The following is a 25,783-nucleotide window of genomic DNA, read 5'->3' as shown; positions in this document are numbered from 1 at the left end:
GTCCAGGTGCCAGGACAAACATCAGATATCACCTACTTGGCACATCACTTCGTGAATTTACCAGCACCTAAGTTATATTTTGAAATAGTTAATTAAGCTTTTCAGTGATTGATTCATTTCCCCACCTATGACTTCTGGGTATGGAAGAATAGAGAGTTGTAGTTACCTCCAGAAATTGTGGTTTCTAAATTTATATTGAGGTTCTCTGCCATTAGATTTTCATACCATAATATATATTAAGGAAATGTTTCTTCAGATTGTTTCTTATTGCTGCAACAAATACAAATTCATAAAATTTATTTTTGTGATTCTTAAAGTATAAAATGGTAAAAATACTTTCCCATTATTTTCATGTTACCTTTTATCTGTACTTTTTGTTTCAGAAAGAAAAACCGGGAGACACACAATGCAGGTAGAAACAATTTAAATTTTACCTGTTAGCATTTTTTGCATTCAAAATGAAATCATACTGCAGTTGATTATAAGTTTTTATGTTATAAGCAAGGAATCATTATTCATTATGTTTTAGGAAAATGTTCCCTTATTGTTTTTTATTGACAAAATACTCCCTGAGTCTCATGAAGATGGCTTGCTTATCATCTTCTGATTCATAGTCTATTTAGATAATTTAAGAGATTACTGTATCCCTGGAGCTAGTGTTTTAAGTGATTTTACCTACCAAGATAGTCCAGATATTATTCTCCTAGATAGTATGGAGGGTATGTATCTTTGCAGCAATTCCCGAGGGGGCTGGCTGCCTAGAGGTATAGCTAAGAGATGAGCAGCAGGTTATAGATCCTAAAGAGCCTTGTAATGTGAACAGTCTTAAATTAAGTTCTGGAGTCCTCAATTATAGGAAGATATAGAAAATAAATATTGGATTTTATCTCAAATATTGAAATTACAGGCCAAAGCCAGATAAACATCTATAAAATTAATTGTGCATACATTTGGAATTTGGCACACTGTATCTATAAACGATACCTTCCTTTGTCTAAGGAAAGGACCCTTGGGAAAATTTTATCTATGGAAAAGTATGTTGAACACTGGTGGGATATTGCTGTTTCTCAGAATGTGGAGTTTATTGCCTTTGAAACTCCATTTTTCTGCAGGGGGTAAAAAGTCTTAATGTTGACTTTTTTTTTAACCTCCATGCATTACAAAATCTACTCTTAGAAACCAACAAATACTATTATTAGAGAATTCAGAGGAAAGGTAAGCACAGTTTATTGCTTTGATTTTTTTTTGCTGTATAAATTAATGTTTTTGACCATAAGAGCTAATCTTTTTGATTGGAGTCAGCTGTCACATGGTGCCATAGATATGTGCTTATAGGCCGATCGTGGTGGTTCATGCCTGTAATCCCAGCACTTGGAGAGGTCGAGGCAGGTGGAGCACCTGAGGTCAGGAGTTTGAGACCAGCCTGGCCAACATGGCGAAACCCCATCTCTTCTAAAAATACAAAAAATTAGCCGGGTATGGTGGTGCGTGCCTGTAATCCCAGCTACTCAGGAGGCTGAGGCAGGAGAATCGCTTGATGCAGTTAAGCGAGATCGTGCCATTGCACTCCAGCTGGGGTGACAGAGTGAGGCTCCATCTCAAAAAAAAAAAAGAAAAAAAAAAAGAAAGAGATGTGTTTACCATAACTTACTAAGAAAGACTAATTAGGTGTCATTGAAAAGGATGCTAGGCCAGGCGTGATGGCTCATGCCTGTAATTCTAACACTTTGGTAGACCAAGGCAGGAGGATATTTTGAGCCCAGGAGTTCAAAACCAGCGTGGGCAACATAGGGAGACCCCGCCTCTACAAGTAATAAAAAAAAATTAGCCAGGCATGGTAGTGCATGTCTATGGTTCCAGCTACTCTGGAGGCTGAGGTGGAAGGATTGCTTGAGCCTGGGAAGTCAAGACTGCAGTGAGCTGTGATTGTGCCACTGCACTCCAGCCTGGGCAATGGAACAACACCTTGTCTCAAAAAAAAAAAAAAAAAAAAAGGAAGAAGAAAAGAAAAAAGGAGAAAAGAAAGAAAAAAGGATGCTCTTACTGCTAGATCATAAAGCAAAAAATATATATATTTTGCAAAACACGTCACACCCATGCTACTGAAAGATCATCTACTTAGAAGCACTGGAATCCTTTGTTAAAAAGGAATGTTTTAGAAAACTTTGTAATAGAAAATAGCCAATACTAATGTTTCCACTTACAGAGTCTTATAGAAATTATTTGTATAATGTCTCCTATCCTTTGACCCCTTTTAAATTTGTAACACTTAAGCCTGGAACATTTCACAGTTGATTGAGAAGCTGTCAGTTGCTTTGTTTCTTTGATGGGAAAGATCCAACATAGCCAAAGTGGAGAGTCTAGATCCCAGATCCCAGATCCCATAGAGAAAACCAAACCAGTACTCTTTCTTATCTATTTTAAGTCATAGCTAATAGCTGTTTCTATTCCAAAAAGGCCCAGTAGTCATCCAAAAAGGTGTTTTAAGGTTCTTTAATCTGCCTAGAAAGGCCTCATTTGCCCATTTGCCATAAAGAGGCAGCTTTCTAATAACTTGTTTGTTAGTGGATTCTTTAAATTTGATTATCATTAAAATCTCTAGTGATTACTTGAACTGTAATAGAATGATGGCCTAGTAGTAATGAAATATTAGCAATTCCTATTTGTTTTTAATTTGAAAGTAATTATTATCAATGATGGTCTTTAAAATTTTAAGGTCTGGTGCAGTGACTCAGGTCTGTAATCCCAGCATTTTGGGAGACTGAGGTGGGCAGATAGCTTGAGCTCAGGAGTTTGAGACCATCCTAGGCAACATGGCAAGACCCTGTCCCTACTAAAAATACAAAAAAAAATAGTTGGGCATGGTGCTGCATGCCTGTGGTCCCAGCTATTCGGGAGGCCTGAGCCCAGGGAAGGGGCTGAGGGCAGGAGATTGCAGTGAGCTGAGATTGCACTGCTGCACTCCAGCCTGGGGGACCCTGTCTCAAAAAAAAGCAAAATGCTAATAAAAGTATTGCTTATGTAGATTGCTGTAACACTAGATTTAAAAAATGACATCTTAGACATTTTACTTATTATAGTTATTTATAGTAGATAATGTTTGATAAGCCCTTCCCCTTCCCCTTCCGCTCCCCTTCCCCCTTCCCTTTTTTTTTATTTTCAGACAGAGTCTCGTTCTGTCACGCAGGGTGGAGAGCAGCAGCATGATCTCAGCGCACTGCAGCCTCCATCTCCCGGGTTTCAAGCAATTCTCCTGCCTCAGCCTCCCAAGTAGCTGGGACTACAGGCGTGTGCCACCACGCCCAGCTACTTTTTGTATTTTTAGTAGAGATGGGGTTTTGCCATGTTGGCCAGGCTGGTCTCGAACTCCTGACCTCAGGTGATCCACCCGCCTTGGCCTCCCAAAATGCTGGGTTTGCAGGTGTGAACCATCACGCCTGGCCATTGATAAGCATTTCTTAGGGATTTCTTTACCTAAAACTTCTTTACCGTGGTTGAATGAGGGCACTTTGACTAAGTAGTGTAAGGTTTGATAAACGAATTTTCTCCCATCTAGTGGAGAGGCATAGAAAGAAGAAAATTAATGCTGGGATAAACAGAATAGGAGAGCTGATCCCATGTTCTCCTGCCCTGAAGCAGGTAAGAAGTCTACTCATATCTTCATTCATTACTTATGAACAGACAATTCCCTAAGTTGTTTTGGTGCTTAGAATGATTATTTTTGTTGCTTTCTATTTCTATGTATGGTTCTTTTGAAGTTAATAATTGCCTTGTTTTAATTCTTCCCATTCTTCCAACAATCTTTTAGTACAGTTTCTTCATGGTCAAATGTACCATATAATTTCTAGACTCTTCAGATTTCTCTTGATTACTAAATTAATCACATGACTATGTTTACATATATGCCACTCTATTTGCAAGGCATTTTTTCATTTTGTTTTCCTGCCAATGCATGTTCTTACTCCTTTTAAATTTTTACTTAGAATCTTCCAAGGATCTTTTTAAAAATTTATTCTCCGTGCCCTCTTAACCCCCAGTAGTACTTAAAATCTCAGCTTAAAGTATGACAGTGTTCTCTAATGAAGATACCTTTTTGTTCCTTCTAATAATGAGGATTATCCCTCTAATAATGAGGGATAATTATTATTATCCCTCTAATAATGAGGATAAAGCATGCTCCACTGAAAACAAAAAAACAAAAAATTGAAACAATACGAAAGGCACAAAAAGGTTTAAAAAATAAACTGATATCTTACTCCCAAGCAATAATCACTATTATAATGTTGTAATTAAATGAATATATGCAAAAAGTTAATAAGACACATAGCAAACAGCACTAAAAAGCTTAAAACAACAAACATTAATCTCCTACCTGCTTCCTAACCCCAACATAGCTCCTCAGAGGCAAATATTCTCAACTGTTTCTTCTGTGTTTTTTTTTTTTTACTGTTATATTTCTAAATAGCATACTTACGTTGCTGTATCTGAATTTTTCAATTTTAGAGATTATCTATTGACTCGTTGTTATGCTTTTCCCCTGGCTTCTTCTTCTTCAGTCCTTCCATTATAATTCTATCACTTTTGGTTAAATTGGTATTCAGTTTTTATGTTTTTAAAACTGTAAATATTATTCATGGTTGAGCCAAGGAGTGTACTATTATATTTCATTTGTTGCTTTTGTTTTTGGGTGGAGTAAATAATTACCTCATAGTTTTCCATTTGCTTAATTTTTCATATACTTATCTTTAATCCTTCTGATACTTCCAACCATCTCTTAGTAGAGTTTTCTGTAAGGTCAAATGTACTACATAATTTTCATTTGCCATTTTCTTTCTTCAAGACTTTACTTCTGGAACACTCTGTTCTCCTTTTTCATTCTCAACCAGTTGACCTCTTCCAGCTCTTCTGTTTTTAATTGCAGCTCTTATATTTTTAATTTCCAATAGTCTTTTTTCTTATTCTCTGTTCCTTTTCCTACCATATGTTTGTGGATACAATATCTTCTCACCTCTGAATAGTATATGTAGGTTTTTTCCTGAAGTTTTTTTCTGTTTATGTTTTTTTCCTCTGATTTCCTTTTTTCCCCTTTTTGTCTCATCTTTTTTTGAGGGGGTTTTCCTGAAATGTTTAGTGACTTGAAGCTGTTTTTTTCATACTTGGGAATGAGGCATTAAAAAGCTGACTGAATAGGTTTGTATTTTGGTAGCCCTAAGTGTTGCATGATTAGAAGCTATGCTAGTTTTATTGTTCTTGTTGTGGAACTAAAACATATCAGTATTTGTCTTTTTTTTTTTTTTGTGGGATAGCTATTAATTTTTTCATTTTCTTGGAGAAGAACCCATCAGTCTCCTGCCTGGGAGTGGGACTGGTAGGAAGAGGAAGAGGTTGCTATTATTCTGGGAGCTGGATGGGAGTTAGGGGGCTAGAGAGTCTTGTGCTGTAGTAGGCAGAGTTTTACTCTACCCCGCTGTTTCCACTTAGGACCCTCGTCTTGTCCACTTTTGTGCCAAGTATCCCTGAGGTTGAAATTCTCTGGTTCAAATTTCAGAGAAAATAAACTTGTCTCCTGCGGTTTGGGCAGGAAGGGAAAGTCATCCAGCTGTGTAGAATATGTGCGTGGGGGCAGGGTAGGGGGTGGTTCTTATTACTGCTTTATTAGGAGTCTTTCAGCCACTTCCCCTCTATTTTAACCCCCAGCTCACTCCATCTTCTGTAGAGGCTGGTGGTTCTCAGTGTTGAGCCTTCCCAGTATGTCAAAGGAGCAAATCAGCTTGCTTCTCTATGTTATCTCCCTTGGAAAGGACTTACTCTTCATTTCCTTTCTTCCCTATAGGATGGACTTAGACTTCCATATATGTTTCTGTTTGTTTGTTTGTTTGTTTGTTTGTTTGTTTTGAGACAGTCTCACTCTGTTGCCTAGGCTGGAATGCAGTGGCATGATCTCGGCTCACTGCAACCTCCGCCTCCCAGGTTCAAGTGATTCTCTTGCCTCAGCCTCCTGAGTAGCTAGGATTACAGGTGCATGCCACCACGCCAGGCTAATTTTTGTATTTTTAGTAGAGATGGGGTTTTACCATGTTGGCCAGGCTGGTCTCAAACTCCTGACCTCAAGTGATCCACCCACCTCGGCCTCCCAAAGTGCTGGGATTACAATGCCCGGCTCCATGTATGTATTTTTCAGCCTTTTTAAAAATTGTGCTTTCTGTTTCCTTAACACAATGGCACACACTATGCCTTCTAATTTGTTTTTCTTTCTCCACATCTCAATGGAAGGTAGCTAGGTAGCTACTCAGTAAACATAGATGTTTGCCCAGGAAAATCTTACTTTCCTGCTCTTGGCTTTCATCCCTGCGAGTTTCTCTGAAGAAAGGAAACCATAACCATTTTACTTCCTTGGTGTTCTAGAATGTGCAAAGGAAGTCAGTATTTGGCTATCAGAAGCAGAGCCAACTAAGATTTTCTTCACAGGCTTTGGCCCCTGTCTGCAGTAGAGGGACAGGTGGCTGGGAATTATCAGGTTCTGCCTTTGTTCAGATTATTGTTTTTAAAAAGAACAATATTATTTTTCTCTTAGTAGTAAATAACTTCCTGGGTTTACGTATTGGGTCTCTGTTGGGACTCAGTGTAAAGAACTCAGAATTATAAATTGCCAAACAAAGGACTAAATCACAGTGATTCCTACATGAAAAGAGTTATCTACAAAGTACCAGAGATAGCTAATAATATATATCCTGGAGTAGAGGTTAAATATTCATTGCAACATTCTTGATAGCTGAAGGATAAAAACCAGAAATGACTGTTAAGGTATCTTAAATGTTTATCAATAATAGACTGGTAAATAAAATAAATACAGTCATTAGCAACAATAAGTAGTCCGGGCACAGTGGCTCACACCTGTAATCCCAGCACTTTGGGAGACCGAGGCGGGCAGATAATGAGGTCAGGAGATCACGACCATCCTGGTTAACATGGTGAAACCTCATCTCTACTAAAAAAACAAAAAACAAAAAACAACAACAACAACAAATTAGCCCGGCATGGTGGCGGGTGCCTGTAGCTACTCGGGAGGCTGAGGCAGGAGAATGGCATGAACCCAGGAGGCGGAGGTTGCAGTGAGCTGAGATCGCGCCACTACACTCCAGCCCGGGCGACAGAGCAGGAGTCTGTTACAAAAAAAAAAAAAAAAAAAAAGGAAACAATAAGTAGGGGCCAGGCATGGTGGCTCACACCTGTAATCCCACCACTTTGGGAGACCAAGGTGGGAGGATCACCTGAGGTCAGGAGTTCGAGACCAGCCTGGCCAACATGGTGAAACCCCGTCTCTACCAAAAAAAAAAAAAATTAGCCAGGCATGATGGCATGTGCTTGTAGTCTCAGCTACTTGAGAGGCAGAGGCAGGAGAATTGCTTGAGCCCGAAAGGCAGAGGTTGCAGTGAGCCGAGATTGCGCCACTGCACTCCAGCCTCGGCCACAGAGCAAGACTCTGTCTCAAAAAAAAAAAAAAAAAAAAAGAAAGATGTCTAGATGCTATATGGAAGTATCGCAAATATATATATATATATTTATTATTTTTTTGAGATGGAGTTTTGCTACTGTTGCCCAGGCTGGAGTGCAATGGCACAATCTCGGCTCACCACAACCTCCTCCTCCTGGGTTCAAGTGATTCTCCTGACTCAGCCTCCCGAGTAGCTGGGATTACAGGCATGTGCCACCACGCCCTGCTAATTTTGTATTTTTAGTAGAGACGGGGTTTCTCCATGTTGGTCAGGCTGGTTTCGAACTCCTGACCTCAGGTGATCTGCCCACCTCGGCTTCCCAAAGTGCTGGGATTACAGGCATGAGCCACCGTACCCGGCCGCCAAGATATATTTTTAAATGTAAGGAAATACAAAATCCTTTTGTCTGTATGTTCGTTTGTTTGTTTTTTCTTTTGAGACAGAATCTCACTCTGTTGCCCAAGCTGGAGTGCAGTGGCAGGATCTCACTTCACAGCAATCTCTGCCTCCCAGGTTCAAGCAGTTCTCTTGTCTCAGCCTACTGAGTAGCTGGCATTACAGGTGTGCGCCACCATGCCTGGCTAATTTTTTTGTAATTTTGATAGAGACGGGATTTTGCCATTTTGGCCAGGCTGGTCTCAAATTCCTGACCTCAAGTGTCTGCCCGCCTCGGCCTCCCAAAGTGCTGGGATTATAGGCATGAGCCACTGCGCCTGGCCTTGTCTGAGTTTTTAAAAAGGATGTATATAGGCATGTATTGGACATGAGAATAAAGGAATACTTTAACATAACGTACAATCTTTTTGAAAAAGCTTAGGAATACAATTTACTGGAAGCATGACACCAAAACTCAATCAAGTGACATTCCTCTCTTGGCCTATTATTTAGAATAATTCGTAGTTGTGGTAAACAGAGTAAAGAATAACATTAAAATCCAAAACCTTTACAAAATCTTGAAGGCCTTCTCTGGCCTTCTACTACTCTTCCCACATGTACTCCACTGTAGCTCCGCTCACCTCCTTACCATTCCTCCAACGTGCCGAGCCTAGCTTGGCTAAGGGCCCCTGCCCTTCTGATCCTGCTGTCTGGACTCCCTTTTCCCATATATCTGCAGGGCCTGCTTCCTTTCACTTCCTTCCAGTTTTTGCTCAGGTATCACCTTATTCAGGGCCCTTCCCCAACCTCCATATACAACAAATGTTCTCAGTGTCTTAGTTCAGGCTGCTGCAACAAAAATGCCATAGACTGGGTAACTTTAATTTCTCACAGTTCTGGAAGGTGGGAAGTCCAAGATCAAGTGCCAGCCAATTCACTTCCTGGTGATAACCCACTTCCTAGTTATGTCCTCAAGTGGCAGACAGAGAGAGAGATCATCTCTGTCTCTTCTTATAGGGCACTAATCCCATCATGAGGGCTCCACCTTCATGACCTAATTACCTCCCAAAAACCATCACACTGGGGATAAGGGTTTAGACATATGAATTTTAGGGGGCACAAACATTCAGTCCTTTGCACAAAGTAACCTCCACCATCACTCTAGCTCCCTCTTTACCCTGCTTTATATTTCTTCATAGCATTCCTCTGTGTGTGTGTGTGTATTCTTCAAGGACAGGGACTTTGTTTGTTTTACTATTATATCCCCAGTGCCTAGAACAGAGCCTGCCACTCATTAGCTGCCCAATAACCATTTAATAAATGAAAAATATACAGTAGAAGCTTTTGAATATAGTGCCTGTTTTAAATTTTGAGAAGATACGTATCATATATATGTGATAAAGACAAAGCTTAAAGTTTCATCTGGCAAGTTCTTACCCTTCAGTGAAACTTGTAAACTTTTAAAATTTTCTTGGACAGAGCAAGAATATGATCCTGGACCAAGCCTTTAAATATATAACAGAATTGAAAAGGCAAAATGATGAACTCCTGCTTAATGGAGGAAACAATGAACAAGGTAAAGATTTAAAAGTTCTTACTTTTTGTTGTATTTTAAAATGTTTAGGTGTTTGTGTCACAGTGAAATTTATATTATGACATAGAAAGCTTTTTGGCCCCAAAACATTATTAAGACCCTGCATTCAGTGGGTCTGGAAGAATAATGTTACCAATAAATTCATTTTAGTCTAACTCTTTCTCCTCTGTGAGCACCTCTTATCTTGTAGGCATACATAGTTTTGACTTTGAACTCTTCTGTGTATTTCATGTTTGCCTAACTCATGATACTAGTAATGCTAAATCTCCTTTATTCCAATTGGACATTGCAGTTAGGGCAATCCCATAAGAAGATGTAAGGGGGGAGTTCTGCTCAGTGAAATTTATTAAAAAGATTAGGATATGCCTGTGCCACGATTTAACTATGCATTAGCAAAAAAGGCCAAAACATTCATTTTGTTTATACTTCTTGTAATGTGTGCATCAAACTGCCTGATCATTTAATGATACTTGATTCTTAGATAAAGGTGACTTTTTAATGCCATCAAATGAGTTCTCTTTTTCCATTAGCATTGGAGAGAAAGTTTTCTTATAGCAGCGGGAAAAAAATATTCCAGGCAAGCGTAAAGCTCAGGGTAGGCCAGTTTGAAATTGTCTTTTATTTATACCCCTGACAAGTGCAAGGAGAGAATTTTCTGTGACAACTCAGTAGGCCACCTTAAAAAGAGAGAAAAAAGGGCAGAATTGCCTGAGGTAAGGTCAGTGCTGGGCTGTGTTTATTGTAATGGATGGGAAAGATATTGGAAAGCCTACCTAGGAGGTCAGCATTCAGAATTCTCCTTGTTTACTTTTAGTTAAATATTAGCAGCTTCCCCCCCTCACCTAGTTTAGCTGGTGTTTATGGCCCAGGTCTTTTTGTGATGCCGTCAGATAGATAAATGATCCATGTTTAGTAACCATTTGAGGTACTCCACAGAAGGGATGTAAGACAGAATGATGAGTAGACTTTTCTAATGAAAGCTCTTTTGATTTCAAAGCCAGAGGCTGAGACAATCAAGTTACCTTAGGAAAAAGGGAAATTGTTGAAAAATAGAAGTTGCGTGGGACTCAGAAAAAGCTGACCAGACAGGCCAGGGGTTAGGGGTGGGATCTAAGGCAGCCTAAATCTGTGTTTGTTATTTCTGTCATGATCGTTATTTCTCTGGTTCTTTTTCTGTGCATCTGCTCTATCCTCTTTTTTTCTCTCAGTGGCTTCTTCCATATGCTCACTGTGCATGTATCTAGTAGCCAAAGCAATGGCCTTGGACTCAGGCCCTCCTAGGTTTGAGTCTCAGCTTCATTTACTCACTCAGTACCCTTTGGTCAGTTACTTAGCCTCTCCCAGTCCCAGTTTCCCTATGTTAAAATGAGGATAATCATAGTATCTACCTGGCTGAATTTAGGCAAATTACATAACTGCTCTGGGCCTGTTTCTCACATCTAAAAGTGGTGATAATAAAATATAAATTGCCATCTCATGGTTCTTATGAGGATTAAAAGAGATAATACAAGAACTTAGATTAAAGCCTAGCACAGAGTAATTGCTTGATAAATGTTAGCTGTTATAGTTGTCGTTGTTATTAAATGAAACAAGGAATGAAATGTGCCAGGTAGTAAAGGTGCAGTAAGTGAGAACCATGATTATTATTTGGTCCATAATGATTGTTCTTTAATTTCTACTGTCCGTGGACACTGGTATCTTTCTTTTGTCTCTTAGTTTTAAACTAAGAAAAATGATCTGCTAGTTTCAGCTCGTCTTTGTTGGAATGGAACTTTTCATTTCAGGCTCCCTCACAGGGTGTTAGCCTGGAGAATAGGATGCTTTGGAAAAGGAATGAGAATACTCTCCACTGTTTCAAGGCAGATGGGGATGTGTGGGGTCACAGAGCATATACCAGCAGCTAAGCCTGCCCCATTAGTGGTACTCATAGGTGAAGCTATCTACCTTAGAAAGGAGGGCTGTGACAATGCCCTCACTGCTCAGTAGCATACCTGCATTGTCCCTACCAAGCAAAGTGCAGGTTCCATTGTCGATGCTTTCTTTGGTGCACTTTGGTGCCACTTTGCTTCTTATGTGTTCTATTCCTTTTTGTCTCAATTGTTTCAAAGGATAAAATAGAAACTAAATTGATTTATAAAAGAGACTGTCGGCTGGGCATGGTGGCTCATGCCTGTAATCCCAGCACTTTGGGAGGCCAAGGCAGGCAGATCACTTGAGGTCAGGAGTTCAAGACCAGCCTGGCCAACATGGCGAAACCCTGAATCTACTAAAAATATGAAAATTAGCTGGGAGTGTTGGTGCGCACCTGTAATCTCAGCTACTCGGGAGGCTGAGGCAGGACAATTGCTTGAACCTGGGAGGTGGAGGTTGCAGTGAGCCGAGATTGCACCACTGCACTCCGGCCTGGGTCACAGAGCAAGACTCTGTCTCAAAAGAATAAAATAAAAAATAAAGAGACTGCCTGTTACTATCACAGGTAATGTTGGCTGCTGCAGCATTTAAATGGCATATTGATATTCAATGTTATCTTGCTAGCATGTTGCCATGATATCAGTATGTCTTCCCTTACTTCACCTATGTAGCTGCCCTACTGGAAATTTTTGAATTGGGAATTTTGAGGTTTCTACATTATGAGTAATTTTTCAGTTGACCTTTAAAAATTTATACTTTTTAAAGGAGGGCATAGGGATTTAAGATATCATTCTAAAAAGAAAAAAGAAGTTGTATTAGAAAAGAGCTGAAGAGTCTCGGTTGAAGTACTTAGAATGCTAGAATTAGAATTCAGTAGTTTAGTATACAGTTCTTTATCAAGTTATTGTAAATACTGACATTCTCAGGTATTTATAAATTTTTGTTTTTAATATTATAGCTGAAGAAATAAAAAAGCTACGGAAACAACTGGAAGAAATCCAAAAAGAAAATGGCCGATATATTGAATTACTGAAAGCTAATGACATATGCTTATATGATGACCCGACAATTCACTGGAAAGGAAATCTTAAAAACTCAAAGGTCTCTGTTGTTATTCCTAGTGACCAGGTTCAAAAAAAAATTATTGTTTATTCCAACGGGAATCAGCCTGGTGGAAACAGCCAGGGAACAGCTGTTCAGGGGATAACTTTTAATGTTAGTCATAATTTACAAAAGCAGACCGCCAATGTGGTGCCAGTACAGAGGACTTGCAATCTTGTGACTCCTGTATCTATTTCTGGAGTTTACCCTTCTGAAAACAAGCCATGGCATCAGACCACAGTTCCTGCATTGGCTACCAACCAGCCTGTTCCTCTTTGTCTTCCTGCTGCCATTTCTGCTCAGAGTATTCTCGAGCTTCCCACCTCTGAAAGCGAATCAAATGTGCTTGGTGCCACTAGTGGCTCACTGATTGCTGTTTCAATTGAATCTGAGCCTCACCAACATCATTCTTTGCACACATGCCTAAATGATCAAAATTCTTCTGAAAATAAGAATGGACAAGAGAACCCCAAAGTATTGAAGAAAATGACCCCTTGTGTTACAAACATCCCCCACAGCTCCTCAGCAACTGCCACTAAAGTGCACCATGGAAACAAGTCCTGCCTGAGCATACAGGACTTCAGAGGTGATTTTCAAAACACTTTTGTTGTTTCAGTTACCACCACAGTCTGCTCGCAGCCTCCCAGAACTGCAGGTGATTCTTCTCCAATGAGCATTAGTAAGAGTGCAGACTTGACAAGTACAGCTACAGTGGTGGCATCATCTGCCCCTGGAGTAGGGAAGGCCACCATTCCTATAAGCACTCTTTCGGGAAACCCTTTGGACAATGGTTGGACTCTTTCTTGTTCTTTGCCTTCTTCAAGTGTTAGTACTTCAGATTTGAAAAACATTAATAGCCTTACACGAATCTCTTCAGCTGGAAACACACAGACAACGTGGACTACTTTGCAACTGGCAGGAAACACTATTCAGCCCTTAAGCCAGACACCATCTTCTGCTGTGACTCCAGTATTAAATGAGTCTGGTACTAGCCCCACCACAAGCAACCACAGTAGATATGTGGCTACAGACATCAACTTGAATAATTCCTTTCCAGCAGATGGGCAGCCAGTTGAGCAAGTAGTTGTAACATTGCCTTCTTGTCCATCTTTACCTATGCAGCCACTAATTGCCCAGCCACAAGTTAAATCTCAGCCTCCCAAAAATATCCTTCCACTGAATTCAGCAATGCAAGTGATTCAGATGGCTCAGCCAGTTGGGTCAGCTGTTAATTCAGCTCCAACTAATCAAAATGTTATAATTCTTCAGCCACCTAGCACCACCCCATGCCCAACAGTGATGAGGGCAGAAGTTTCCAACCAAACAGTAGGTCAACAGATAGTAATCATACAGGCTGCTAATCAGAATCCTTTGCCACTCCTCCCTGCTCCACCTCCTGGTTCTGTTCGACTCCCCATCAATGGAGCCAATACTGTAATAGGGTCTAATAATTCAGTGCAAAATGTTCCAACACCACAGACTTTTGGAGGAAAGCATCTTGTCCACATATTACCAAGACCTTCATCTTTATCAGCGTCTAACTCAACACAAACTTTTTCTGTTACCATGTCAAACCAACAGCCTCAAACCATTTCTTTAAATGGACAGCTCTTTGCTTTGCAGCCTGTGATGTCTTCATCAGGAACTACAAATCAAACCCCTATGCAAATTATTCAACCCACCACCAGCGAAGATCCAAATACCAATGTTGCCCTGAATACATTTGGTGCTTTGGCCAGCCTCAATCAAAGCATATCACAGATGGCTGGGCAAAGCTGTGTACAATTGTCTATTAGCCAGCCTGCCAATTCTCAAACTGCTGCAAATAGTCAAACCACTACAGCTAACTGTGTTTCATTAACAACAACTGCAGCACCTCCTGTGACAACAGATAGTTCAGCCACACTAGCTAGTACTTATAATCTAGTGAGTACTTCCTCAATGAACACTGTTGCTTGTTTGCCTAACATGAAATCTAAAAGGTTGAATAAGAAGCCAGGTGGCAGGAAACACTTAGCAGCAAACAAGTCAGCGTGTCCCCTGAATTCAGTCAGAGATGTGAGCAAGTTAGACTGCCCCAACACTGAAGGCTCAGCAGAGCCACCCTGTAATGATGGACTGCTAGAAAGCTTCCCTGCTGTGTTACCATCTGTCTCTGTGTCTCAGGCAAATAGTGTGAGTGTTTCTGCTTCACATTCTTTGGGTGTTCTAAGCTCTGAATCATTAATACCTGAGTCTGTATCGAAATCTAAGTCAGCAGAAAAGTCCAGCCCACCCTCCCAAGAATCTGTAACAAGTGAACATTTTGCAATGGCCGCAGCAAAATCCAAAGATTCTACCCCTAATCTACAACAAGAGACATCTCAGGATAAACCACCAAGTAGTTTAGCATTATCAGATGCTGCCAAACCCTGCGCTTCAGCCAATGTATTGATTCCATCTCCAAGTGATCCTCACATTTTGGTTTCTCAGGTTCCTGGTTTGTCATCTACAACAAGCACTACAAGTACTGACTGTGTTTCTGAGGTAGAAATCATTGCTGAACCTTGCAGAGTTGAGCAAGATTCATCAGATACAATGCAAACCACAGGTCTCTTAAAGGGGCAAGGTTTAACTACATTGCTATCTGATCTTGCTAAAAAAAAAAACCCTCAGAAATCATCTCTTTCTGATCAGATGGATCATCCTGACTTTTCTTCAGAAAATCCTAAAATAGTTGATTCAAGTGTGAATTTACATCCCAAACAGGAACTATTACTGATGAACAATGATGATAGAGATCCTCCACAGCATCATTCCTGCCTCCCTGATCAAGAGGTTATTAATGGTTCTTTGATCAACGGTAGACAGGCCGACTCTCCCATGTCAACCAGCTCTGGCAGTAGTCGTAGTTTCTCAGTTGCATCCATGCTTCCTGAAACAACAAGAGAAGATGTGACCAGCAATGCAACAACTAATACATGTGACAGCTGTACCTTTGTAGAGCAAACTGATATAGTAGCTCTTGCAGCAAGAGCTATTTTTGACCAGGAGAACCTTGAGAAGGGGAGAGTTGGCCTCCAGGCTGATATAAGGGAAGTTGCTTCAAAGCCTTCTGAAGCATCATTGTTAGAGGGAGACCCACCCTTCAAATCACAGATACCTAAAGAGAGTGGCACAGGACAGGCAGAAGCAACACCAAATGAATTTAATTCTCAGGGTTCAATTGAAGCAACTATGGAGAGGCCCCTTGAGAAACCAAGTTGTTCTCTAGGAATTAAAACATCAAATGCATCTTTACAGGATTCAACTTCTCAGCCACCAAGCATCACCAGTTTAAGTGTGAATAATCTTATCCATCAGAGCAGCATCAGCCATCCTCTGGCCAGCTGTGCGGGTTTATCCCCAACTTCAGAGCAAACAACTGTGCCTGCAACGGTTAATCTGACCGTTTCATCTAGCTCCTATGGCAGTCAACCTCCTGGACCATCTCTGATGACTGAATATTCCCAAGAACAGCTAAATACTATGACTAGTACCATACCAAATTCACAGATTCAAGAGCCACTCTTAAAGCCAAGCCATGAAAGCCGTAAGGATTCTGCTAAGCGTGCTGTCCAAGATGACCTTTTACTGTCTTCAGCTAAACGTCAAAAGCACTGTCAGCCAGCCCCCCTCAGGCTTGAAAGTATGTCCCTGATGAGCAGAACTCCAGACACCATTTCTGACCAAACTCAAATGATGGTCAGTCAGATCCCTCCTAATTCTTCAAACTCAGTTGTGCCTGTTAGCAACCCAGCTCATGGAGATGGCCTTACACGATTATTTCCACCTAGTAACAACTTTGTGACTCCTGCATTGAGGCAAACTGAAGTTCAGTGTGGTTCTCAGCCTTCAGTTGCTGAACAGCAGCAAACCCAGGCAAGTCAGCATCTACAGGCCCTGCAGCAGCATGTTCCAGCTCAAGGTGTATCTCACCTTCATAGTAACCATCTCTACATAAAGCAGCAGCAGCAGCAGCAGCAGCAGCAGCAGCAGCAACAGCAACAACAACAAGCAGGGCAGTTAAGAGAGAGGCATCACTTATATCAAATGCAGCATCATGTACCTCATGCAGAGAGCTCTGTCCACTCTCAGCCCCATAATGTCCACCAACAGAGGACTCTGCAACAGGAAGTTCAGATGCAGAAAAAGAGGAATCTTGTTCAGGGCACCCAGACCTCTCAGCTTTCCTTACAACCAAAGCACCATGGAACTGACCAATCCCGATCCAAGACTGGCCAGCCACATCCCCACCATCAGCAGATGCAGCAACAAATGCAGCAACACTTTGGAAGCTCCCAGACAGAGAAGAGCTGTGAAAACCCTTCAACTAGTCGGAACCATCATAACCATCCCCAGAACCATCTCAATCAAGATATTATGCACCAACAGCAGGATGTTGGAAGCAGACAGCAAGGTTCAGGGGTTTCATCTGAACATGTATCTGGCCATAATCCAATGCAGAGGCTTTTGACATCAAGAGGCTTAGAGCAGCAAATGGTGTCCCAACCAAGTATTGTGACTAGATCTTCAGACATGACCTGTACTCCACACAGGCCAGAGAGAAATAGAGTTTCAAGTTATTCTGCTGAGGCACTCATTGGAAAGACATCTTCTAATTCAGAGCAGAGAATGGGGATATCAATTCAGGGTTCCAGAGTTTCAGATCAGCTTGAAATGAGAAGCTATCTTGATGTTCCCAGAAATAAGAGTTTGGCTATTCATAATATGCAGGGTCGTGTGGACCATACTGTGGCCTCAGATATCCGCCTTTCTGATTGTCAGACGTTTAAACCAAGTGGAGCTAGTCAACAGCCCCAGAGTAATTTTGAAGTACAATCTTCAAGAAACAATGAAATAGGTAACCCTGTATCATCATTGCGGAGTATGCAGTCCCAGGCTTTTCGAATTAGTCAAAACACTGGCCCCCCACCAATTGACCGTCAAAAGAGATTATCTTACCCACCAGTTCAGAGCATCCCAACAGGAAATGGTATTCCATCAAGGGACAGTGAAAATACTTGTCACCAAAGTTTCATGCAGAGCTTACTTGCCCCTCACCTCAGTGATCAGGTCATTGGGAGCCAGAGGTCACTCTCAGAACATCAGAGGAATACACAGTGTGGTCCATCCTCTGCAATTGAATATAATTGTCCCCCAACTCATGAAAATGTCCATATTAGAAGAGAGAGTGAGAGTCAGAATAGGGAAAGTTGTGACATGTCGTTAGGTGCAATTAACACCAGGAACAGCACCTTGAATATTCCTTTTTCAAGTTCCTCTTCCTCAGGAGATATTCAAGGTCGAAACACAAGCCCCAATGTTTCTGTACAGAAATCCAATCCCATGAGGATTACTGAGAGTCATGCCACCAAGGGCCACATGAACCCTCCAGTCACAACCAACATGCATGGGGTTGCAAGGCCAGCGTTGCCACATCCATCTGTGTCTCATGGAAATGGCGATCAAGGCCCTGCTGTACGTCAAGCTAATTCTTCAGTTCCCCAGAGATCAAGGCATCCCCTGCAAGACAGCAGTGGTTCCAAAATTCGTCAGCCTGAAAGGAATCGTTCTGGAAACCAAAGGCAAAGTACTGTCTTTGATCCAAGTCTTCCCCATCTTCCTCTCTCTACTGGTGGCAGTATGATTCTTGGACGTCAACAACCTGCCACAGAGAAGAGAGGAAGTATTGTTCGTTTCATGCCTGATAGCCCACAAGTACCTAATGATAATTCAGGTCCTGACCAGCATACACTATCACAAAATTTTGGTTTTTCTTTTATTCCTGAGGGTGGCATGAATCCACCAATAAATGCTAATGCTTCTTTCATTCCACAGGTTACTCAGCCTAGTGCCACTCGAACTCCAGCCCTCATCCCGGTAGATCCGCAAAATACTCTGCCCTCCTTCTATCCTCCATACTCTCCTGCTCATCCTACACTGTCCAATGATATTTCAATCCCCTATTTTCCTAATCAGATGTTCTCAAATCCTAGCACAGAGAAGGTAAACAGTGGAAGTTTAAATAACCGATTTGGATCAATTTTATCTCCTCCCAGACCTGTTGGGTTTGCTCAACCAAGTTTTCCTCTTCTCCCAGATATGCCACCAATGCACATGACCAACTCTCACTTATCCAATTTTAATATGACATCTTTGTTTCCAGAAATAGCCACAGCGCTTCCTGATGGCTCAGCAATGTCACCTTTGCTTACAATAGCAAATTCCTCTGCCTCTGACTCTTCCAAGCAGTCCTCAAACAGACCTGCCCATAACATAAGCCATATTCTAGGTCATGATTGCAGTTCAGCTGTTTAAATACTGATAAACAAAATGTAAAGGTAATGAGTGAGATTACAAATGTATTTGTGCGTGCATGTGCACAGACATGTACATGAAGAGAAGGATTGTGTGTGTGTGTCTGTATAATCAGTTTTCAGTTATCTTCTGAATGTAGGGAAGCCATGTCAGATGCAGATACTGGGTTGTCAGAAAACAAGTTATCTTTCGTTTTCAACTGCATGGTGTACTTTTTTATTTTCCAAGTAGATTTACATTTCCAAGTTGATATTTCCTAAATACTAATTAGCTGGAAATTGGGGGAGATCATCTTGTCATGTACTGGGTAGTAGGAGGGAGCCTAGACTTTAAACTTGATTGTTGATAACTTATGGAATATGTAGGTAAGTTGCTACTGAAAAATATAGGCAGCTTGATAAAACACAGTGGCTCATAATCAAGTGCTGGCTAATGTCAGCATCTAGAACAGCTTCTTACCTATGACAGATGTTGAACTGATGTTGAGTTTAATGTCCGTAGTTAAAGTCAAGCAGTTAGCAAATAAATAAAAGCAATCAGCCTTTATTCTCAAAGTTTGGTTTAGATACAGGCTTCTTTCTAAATTATAACAATGCATAAATTATCTGAATTTTATGTCTTGTTCTTCAAATTAGGGAGCTGTGTTACCCTTTAATGTGCCAAGATTATTTAAAGCAAAGGTCTTCCTTAGACAATTATTTAGCCGTAAATATAGAAAGCTAAAAAGTTAAGTACATACATATTCTCCGTTTTGTGCTTGCATTTTGCATCGGGTCATAAGGGTAAAAGCAGTTAGTTGTATTGTGGAGTTTTGCATGGGTGCAGTTAACAATGGATGTTTCATCAGCTGAGTTTAATTTAGTATTCTCTCTTCATTCTATTTATTTGGTCTTGAAATAAATTCTTTTGCATTCATTTAAATATTAGGATTGATCAGGAAATAGTGTTTGTAATCTACACGTTTATTTGAGCCTTACTTTAAAAATATTTCTGAACAGAGATTTAAGCTCTGTCAGTATTTTCATTTACTGATAGCATTTATATTTTAAATATGGCATTGTATATTTCATTATTATCCTTCATAACAGAATTATAATGAGAATATGAATTTGTTATTTTTCTTGTTGGTAGATGTGAAATGGTGCTTCAAAAAATATATAGTCTTTCTGTATGTCTCTGTGTGTGTAAGTATGTGTGTGTGTGTGTACACATATTTTAAAGTATGAATTGGTCCTTTAAAAACAGGCCTGCCATCTGAAAATGGGAAATTGAGACCTGAGACCTGCTAAAGCATAGAAGAACTTGATATAGGTAGGGTTTTTTTTTTTTTTTTTTTTTTAATAGATGGAGTCTGGCTCTGTTGCCCAGGCTGGAGTGCAGTGGCGTGATCTCAGCTCACTGCAAGCTCCACCTCCCGGGTTCAAGTGATTCTCCTGCCTCAGCCTCCTGTGTAGCTGGGACTACAGGCACGTGCCACCACACCTGGCTAATTTTTGGTACTTTTAGTAGAGACGGGGTTTCACCGTGTTAGCCAGGATGGTCTTGATCTCCTGACCTCGTGATCCACCTGCCTCGGCCTCCCAAAGTGCCAGGATTACAGGCATGAGCCACCGTGCTTGGCCTAGGTACAGGTTTTTAAAAGCCCCACAGAAGTTTATAATACGTTTAAAAACCCATATTAAAATTTGAAAACTTAAAAAAAAAACTAAGAAAACAATGGCATATATTCCTTTTCTTAAACCTGTGAAGTCCATTACTTTTTGTTCTTGTTATATTCTGCCAAAAATGGGATGGGGTGGGAGAGATGCATAGAAATTGTTTTATCTGCCTTGTTAACAAAGTGAACTCAAGGACCAGCTTTTCTTTTCTTTCTTCTTTTCTTTTTTTTTTGAGACTCTGTCACCCAGGCTGGAGTGTCGTTAGGTGCAACTAACACCAGGAACAGCACCTTGAATATTCCTTTTTCAAGTTCCTCTTCCTCAGGAGATATTCAAGGTCACTTTGTCACCCAGGCTGGAGTCTACAATGGCAGGATCTTGGCTCACTGCAGCCTCTGCCTCCTGGGTTCAAGCAAATTCTTGAGCCTCAGCCTCCCGAGTAGCTGAGATTACAGGTCTGTGCCACTACACCTGGCTAATTTTTATATTTTTAGTAGAGACGGGGTTTCACCATCTTGGCCAGGCTGGTCTTGAACTCCTGATGTCAGGTGATCCACCCACCTCGGCCTCCCAAAGTACTGGAATTACAGGCATGAGTCACCCCTCCCAGGCCCCCCCCTTTTTTTTTAATCCTAAAAAGCTTCCTAAGGGTTGGTCAGAGCAGTTAACTCCAGTGAATACCTCTTCTAAAGACTCAGCAAAAGGGTCATTTGTGCCTCTTTAACTGTTCTTACCAAACTGTCCTGTCTCTTTTCTGCTGCCAACTAAGCAGCTTCCTAGGGACAAAAAAATATACAATATTTTTTTTTTTCTTGCTTACAAAGCAAGAACAACCTGTATTTTCTTTCTTCAAAATGGTCTTGGGGAAGAATAGGAGAGCTTCATGAATAAGTTACTCAAGACAACAGATAAACACAGTAGTCAAAACTTTTTATTGAGGAAAAATGTGGCATTTATGACTTGCTTTTTAATTCTCTTAACTGAATTTTAAGCTGCAACGTTCAAATTTTTCTTTGTACTTGAAAGGTCCAGTGTGCCAATTTCAAGAAGGACAGTTTTCCATGTGTTTGGCTATTCATTTCCCTCTCTCCCTCTCTCATCTGTCTGTCTCTCACTGCCTCTGTCTCTGTCTCTCATACACATATACACACACACACACACACACACACACACACACTCTCTCTCTCTCTCTCTCTCTCTCCAGTGGCTGTTAAGTTCTGAAGGACTGGGGACTGCTAGACATAATTGAAAGTAAGGTAACAGGCTAAGGAGAAGCTCAGTTTGAACATTGCAATGTAAAGTCCTCAAAGCCTGTGACTTTCAAGTATTTCTGTTGCATTAATTGTATTTTCCTGCTTAGCTGTGTTCAGACATAGTATTTGCATTTCTTGGAGCTTTCATTCCAACAGTCTAACATTTTGATCTTGAAAGAGTCTCAATAAGCCTTATTTGACCATCTGAGGAAAAATGTGACCATCTGTGAATAATTGGCTCCTGCTTACGTGTAGCTCTCATTACTTTACAGATGTATGCATGTGTATGTAAGACTTCAGTTCATACATGGCTTAATTCTGAAAGTGTTCAGACCATAGTACCCTTATTTGATTTAAAAGCATGAATATATGAGATTTACTAGCAGTATTAAGTATTTGATAGAGCTACGTGATTTTTGGGAAGAAATTTGTTATATGGTATGTAGTGTTAATTTGGATATAATTTTTGGTAAAGGGATGGCAGAAAACATAGTCAATTTTGGTTATAATAAACGTAACCTTATTCTTGGCCTGCTCCATGTGAAATAGGGCTCAGGGAAGCTGGTCTTTTCCTTAGCGGGATGATTACTCCTTTGCCTTGAAACATTTATTGGGCCCACCATGTATGGATCAGCATGTGGTGGTAAGTCATACTCCCAAATCAGTGATTCCCAAGTCTTGGCTTTGGGAACCAGTATGCCTCGTATTCTCTTAAAGAGCAACAAGAATTTCTTGAAACAAAATTAGTTCAGAATTGATTTAAATTTTTTAACTTCTGGAAATACACGAAGTTATGTCTGAGTCATGAGTGACAGTCATTGATTAAATCATTTCTCTGTCTCTTTTTTAGCATTATTGATCACAGAGTCCGTTATAAAAAGTGGTTGATTCCTTTCAACATTTAACAATAACTTCTAATGAAGGGTAAAATTCCAGATTCTCTTCATGCGTAAACATTTAATGTGTCAATCATAGATGAAAGGAATCTAGTTTGATGTTGTTTCTTTCTTTCTTTTTTTTGGAAAACACAAGTTGCTCTGGGATGGCTTATATGTTGTTTTATACCGGTTCAGGAAATTTATTTTTGTTTTTATTGTAAGACCTTTTGCGGTACCAGAGATGGCACCTTTTTTCTAGGTAAGGTGTAGGAATTCCTCAATGGTCTTGCTTCGTAAAATTTAACATATCAGAACTGGGGAAAGAGAAAGGAGGGGGTTATTTTTTTGCAGCATTTTCCAGTCACATATCAGGGTTATACTGAACTGCAACAAAGATCAACTTTTAAAAATTAGCCTTCTTAAAATACAAAATGATTTAAGTATTTTAAAGATAATTTATTTGCCTTGCTCTTGCCTTCTAACATTAGCCATTTCATGGAGAGGCTAAAACTTATACTCCAAAAAATGTGGAAGCACATTTTAATGGGAGTAAAATTAAAAAATTTTGAGAAAGGGTAAAATCTTATGAATATGCATCTTCTTAGCTTTATCTTCCCTTTGATAGGTAGGCACTTATGCTCTTCCATCTGCTCCATGTCAAATAGGGCTCAGGGAAGCCAGTCATTTCCTTAGCGAGATGATTACTCCTTTGCCTTGAAACATTTATTGGGCCCACCATGTATGGATCAGTGTGTGGTAGTGAGTCATACTCCCAAATCAGTGATTCCCAAGTCTTGGCTTTGGGAACCAGTATGCCTTGTATTCTCTTAAAAAGCAACAATAATTTCTTGAAACAAAATTAGTTCAGAATTGATTTAAAATATTTCAGTGTGCCATATAGCTCTGTCCCTTGGTTTGGTTGGCCTTGTTTTTTCCTGTGAAGAATGAAAGGGCAAAGGTGATACCAAAATGAAACAGCTTTGGAGTGATATCTTTAGGAGCCTGGAAGCCATTTTTGTAATTTTGTTGTCTATATAAATGCTACCTTTGCCTGGAGGTAGTGCGCCTGTGGCTGTGTACATCCAGAGGGCAACAGTAATAGCCAACAACCAGACAAACTAGTGAAGTTAATCTGTGAGTGATGATTTTATGATACTTATATGCAAATTAAAGGCAGAAGTTAGTTTCTTCTCAAGATGCCTTTTTGGCTGAACATTACCATTTTTCTTTCCCCAGGGTTTGAAAGAAAAGGGCCTTTTTTGGATTTAACTATATTCTGTCTGCATTCTATTCTTCATGCGTAGGTTTCTACTAGAACCTGTGGAGGGGGGACACCAAATTTAGATTGAGTCAGTCCATGCTGATAAGAAGCGTGAGGACCTTGTTGGACACAGAGCTTCTAGATCTTTCCACCTGTAGCCTCTACCCTGTTCCTGCACTTTACCTGAAACTGTGCCTCTGGTCTTTAGACCAGCTGTTGGAACATATCACTCACCCACTCCTCTGTTATAGCAAAGGGCCAGCTGGGATGGTACACGCTGTGTAATCAGACACCTTCTCGACAAGTACAGCTGATGTTTCTCACTGTTGCCTTACCATTCTCTGAGCCATCTTTGATGTTGATTTGTAAAAAAAAACAAAAAACAAAAAAAAAACCTAGTAGCAAAACTCCTGTTAAACTCAGAGCTTGTATGTGGTGGTCATTCAACATCCTTATTTCTAGATTTACACAAACTGTACCAACTGTAATCTTTTTCTGGCACGCGTATGTGGTCAGATGCTTCATAAACGTGAGCCAACTTGGGTTGTAAACATTGGACATAATATACAAATTGGGGAATTTTGGATGACTGCATAATCCTGTCATTAGAGATTTCATAAGACAGAAGATAACTGTTTATTTGTAATTTAACACATTTTTAGAAAAGATGATCTTTAATTTCTTTCCCTCAGTTGTGTATACAGCTATACACCATACTAACACCGTACTATGTCATAGGAACTTAAAGTTAGATGTATCTAAATCCCTTCACTTTTCTAAGACTTCTCTGTGCTCCCACCCCTGAAGTCTTCAAATCATTTTTCATCTGTGAAGTCACTGAGGTACTGGGCTTGACTATAGTGGTAACAGTTAAGGGGAGTTGAACTATTGATCTTCCAAGAAGAAAGGGACCAGATAGTGTTAAGATGCTGCAGTTGTGTTACTGTGAAGAAAAGATTCGCTTCCACTTTCAGCAGGCTATATAAATATATATACATATATATATATATTTTCACTTTGGTAAAAAAAAGTTGAAAAATCTGAGGAGAACATAATTACCTTCACAAATTATTTATAGATACACTGGGTGAGAAGCTTACTGTAGGGCAGTCACCCAAAAAAAACTAATTTTAGTGCTTTCAATAGTGTAATATTTGTATCTATTACCATGGCAGCAGTGTCTGCTGCACACTGTGTCCTATTACTGTAAATCTCCTGGTTTATAATTCTTATGGAAACTAATTTGTTTTGTAATGGAATCCAGAGCAGATATGTATAATATGATCAGGATTGTCCTACAGTTGTAAATAAGAATAGGTCCTGTTTATTTTGACATCTTTTTACAAATGCATTGTATTAGGGTGTGAATATTCTGAACCATCCTCTTGTTTAAAGTTTGGAAATTTTTATTGTTAAATGTAACATTTTAATGGTTGTAATAATTATTTGTATAGATATGAATATAGTATTTTATTTAAGAAAATAAACTTTGCATTTTTGCATTGTAAATTCTGTCTTCCCTGATCATTGCATGTGCCACTTCAAACCTGCATTAAAGTGGCTTGTCTTGCACTGAAGTATTCTATTCAAGTAATCTTTAAATTTTGCTATAACATCTGAAAATAATGCCATGACATATTTGCTATAGGGATTGTGTTCCTGATCAACCAGCAGACCTCAAATCATAATTATGACCAGAACTATCTTGTTAGAACAAACTGTATACCTCTATACTCATAAAAAGTAAAATTAGAATTTCAGATCTGGAAGAGTATTTCAAGATGATCCACTTTAAACTCTGCTGATTTTATAGTGGAGGAAACTGAAGCACAGAACTTTGAGACAAGTTAGGTCTTTCCCGATAGCTGCCCACATCACTTAGCAAAACTCACAAGCATGAAGCCTGGAGACAAAACA

At 40.0% G+C, this 25,783-nt stretch overlaps 1 protein-coding gene across 5 annotated transcripts in view; it reads left to right on the top strand.

Moving 5' to 3' along the window:
- USF3 (upstream transcription factor family member 3) overlaps window positions 1–25,375 on the top strand; it is a 48,258-nt gene extending 22,883 nt beyond the window's left edge. For 2 of the 5 annotated variants that reach the window (XM_017005871.2, NM_001009899.4), the window contains 4 exons: window positions 384–412; window positions 3,557–3,639; window positions 9,351–9,447; window positions 12,335–25,375. In XM_017005871.2, coding sequence (XP_016861360.1) covers window positions 384–412; window positions 3,557–3,639; window positions 9,351–9,447; window positions 12,335–18,816 — 6,691 coding nt within the window. In that variant the 3' untranslated portion in view covers window positions 18,817–25,375. The remainder of the gene's footprint in view (window positions 1–383; window positions 413–3,556; window positions 3,640–9,350; window positions 9,448–12,334) is intronic. The other 3 variants (XM_017005872.2, XM_005247208.5, NR_111981.2) reach the window with 2 other exon arrangements.

The sequence above is a fragment of the Homo sapiens genome, chromosome 3 (genome assembly GCF_000001405.40).
Source record: "Homo sapiens chromosome 3, GRCh38.p14 Primary Assembly".
Taxonomy (NCBI): Eukaryota; Metazoa; Chordata; class Mammalia; order Primates; family Hominidae; genus Homo; species Homo sapiens.
Note: the sequence above shows the minus strand (reverse complement) of the source record. Positions and strands in the feature narration are given on the sequence as shown.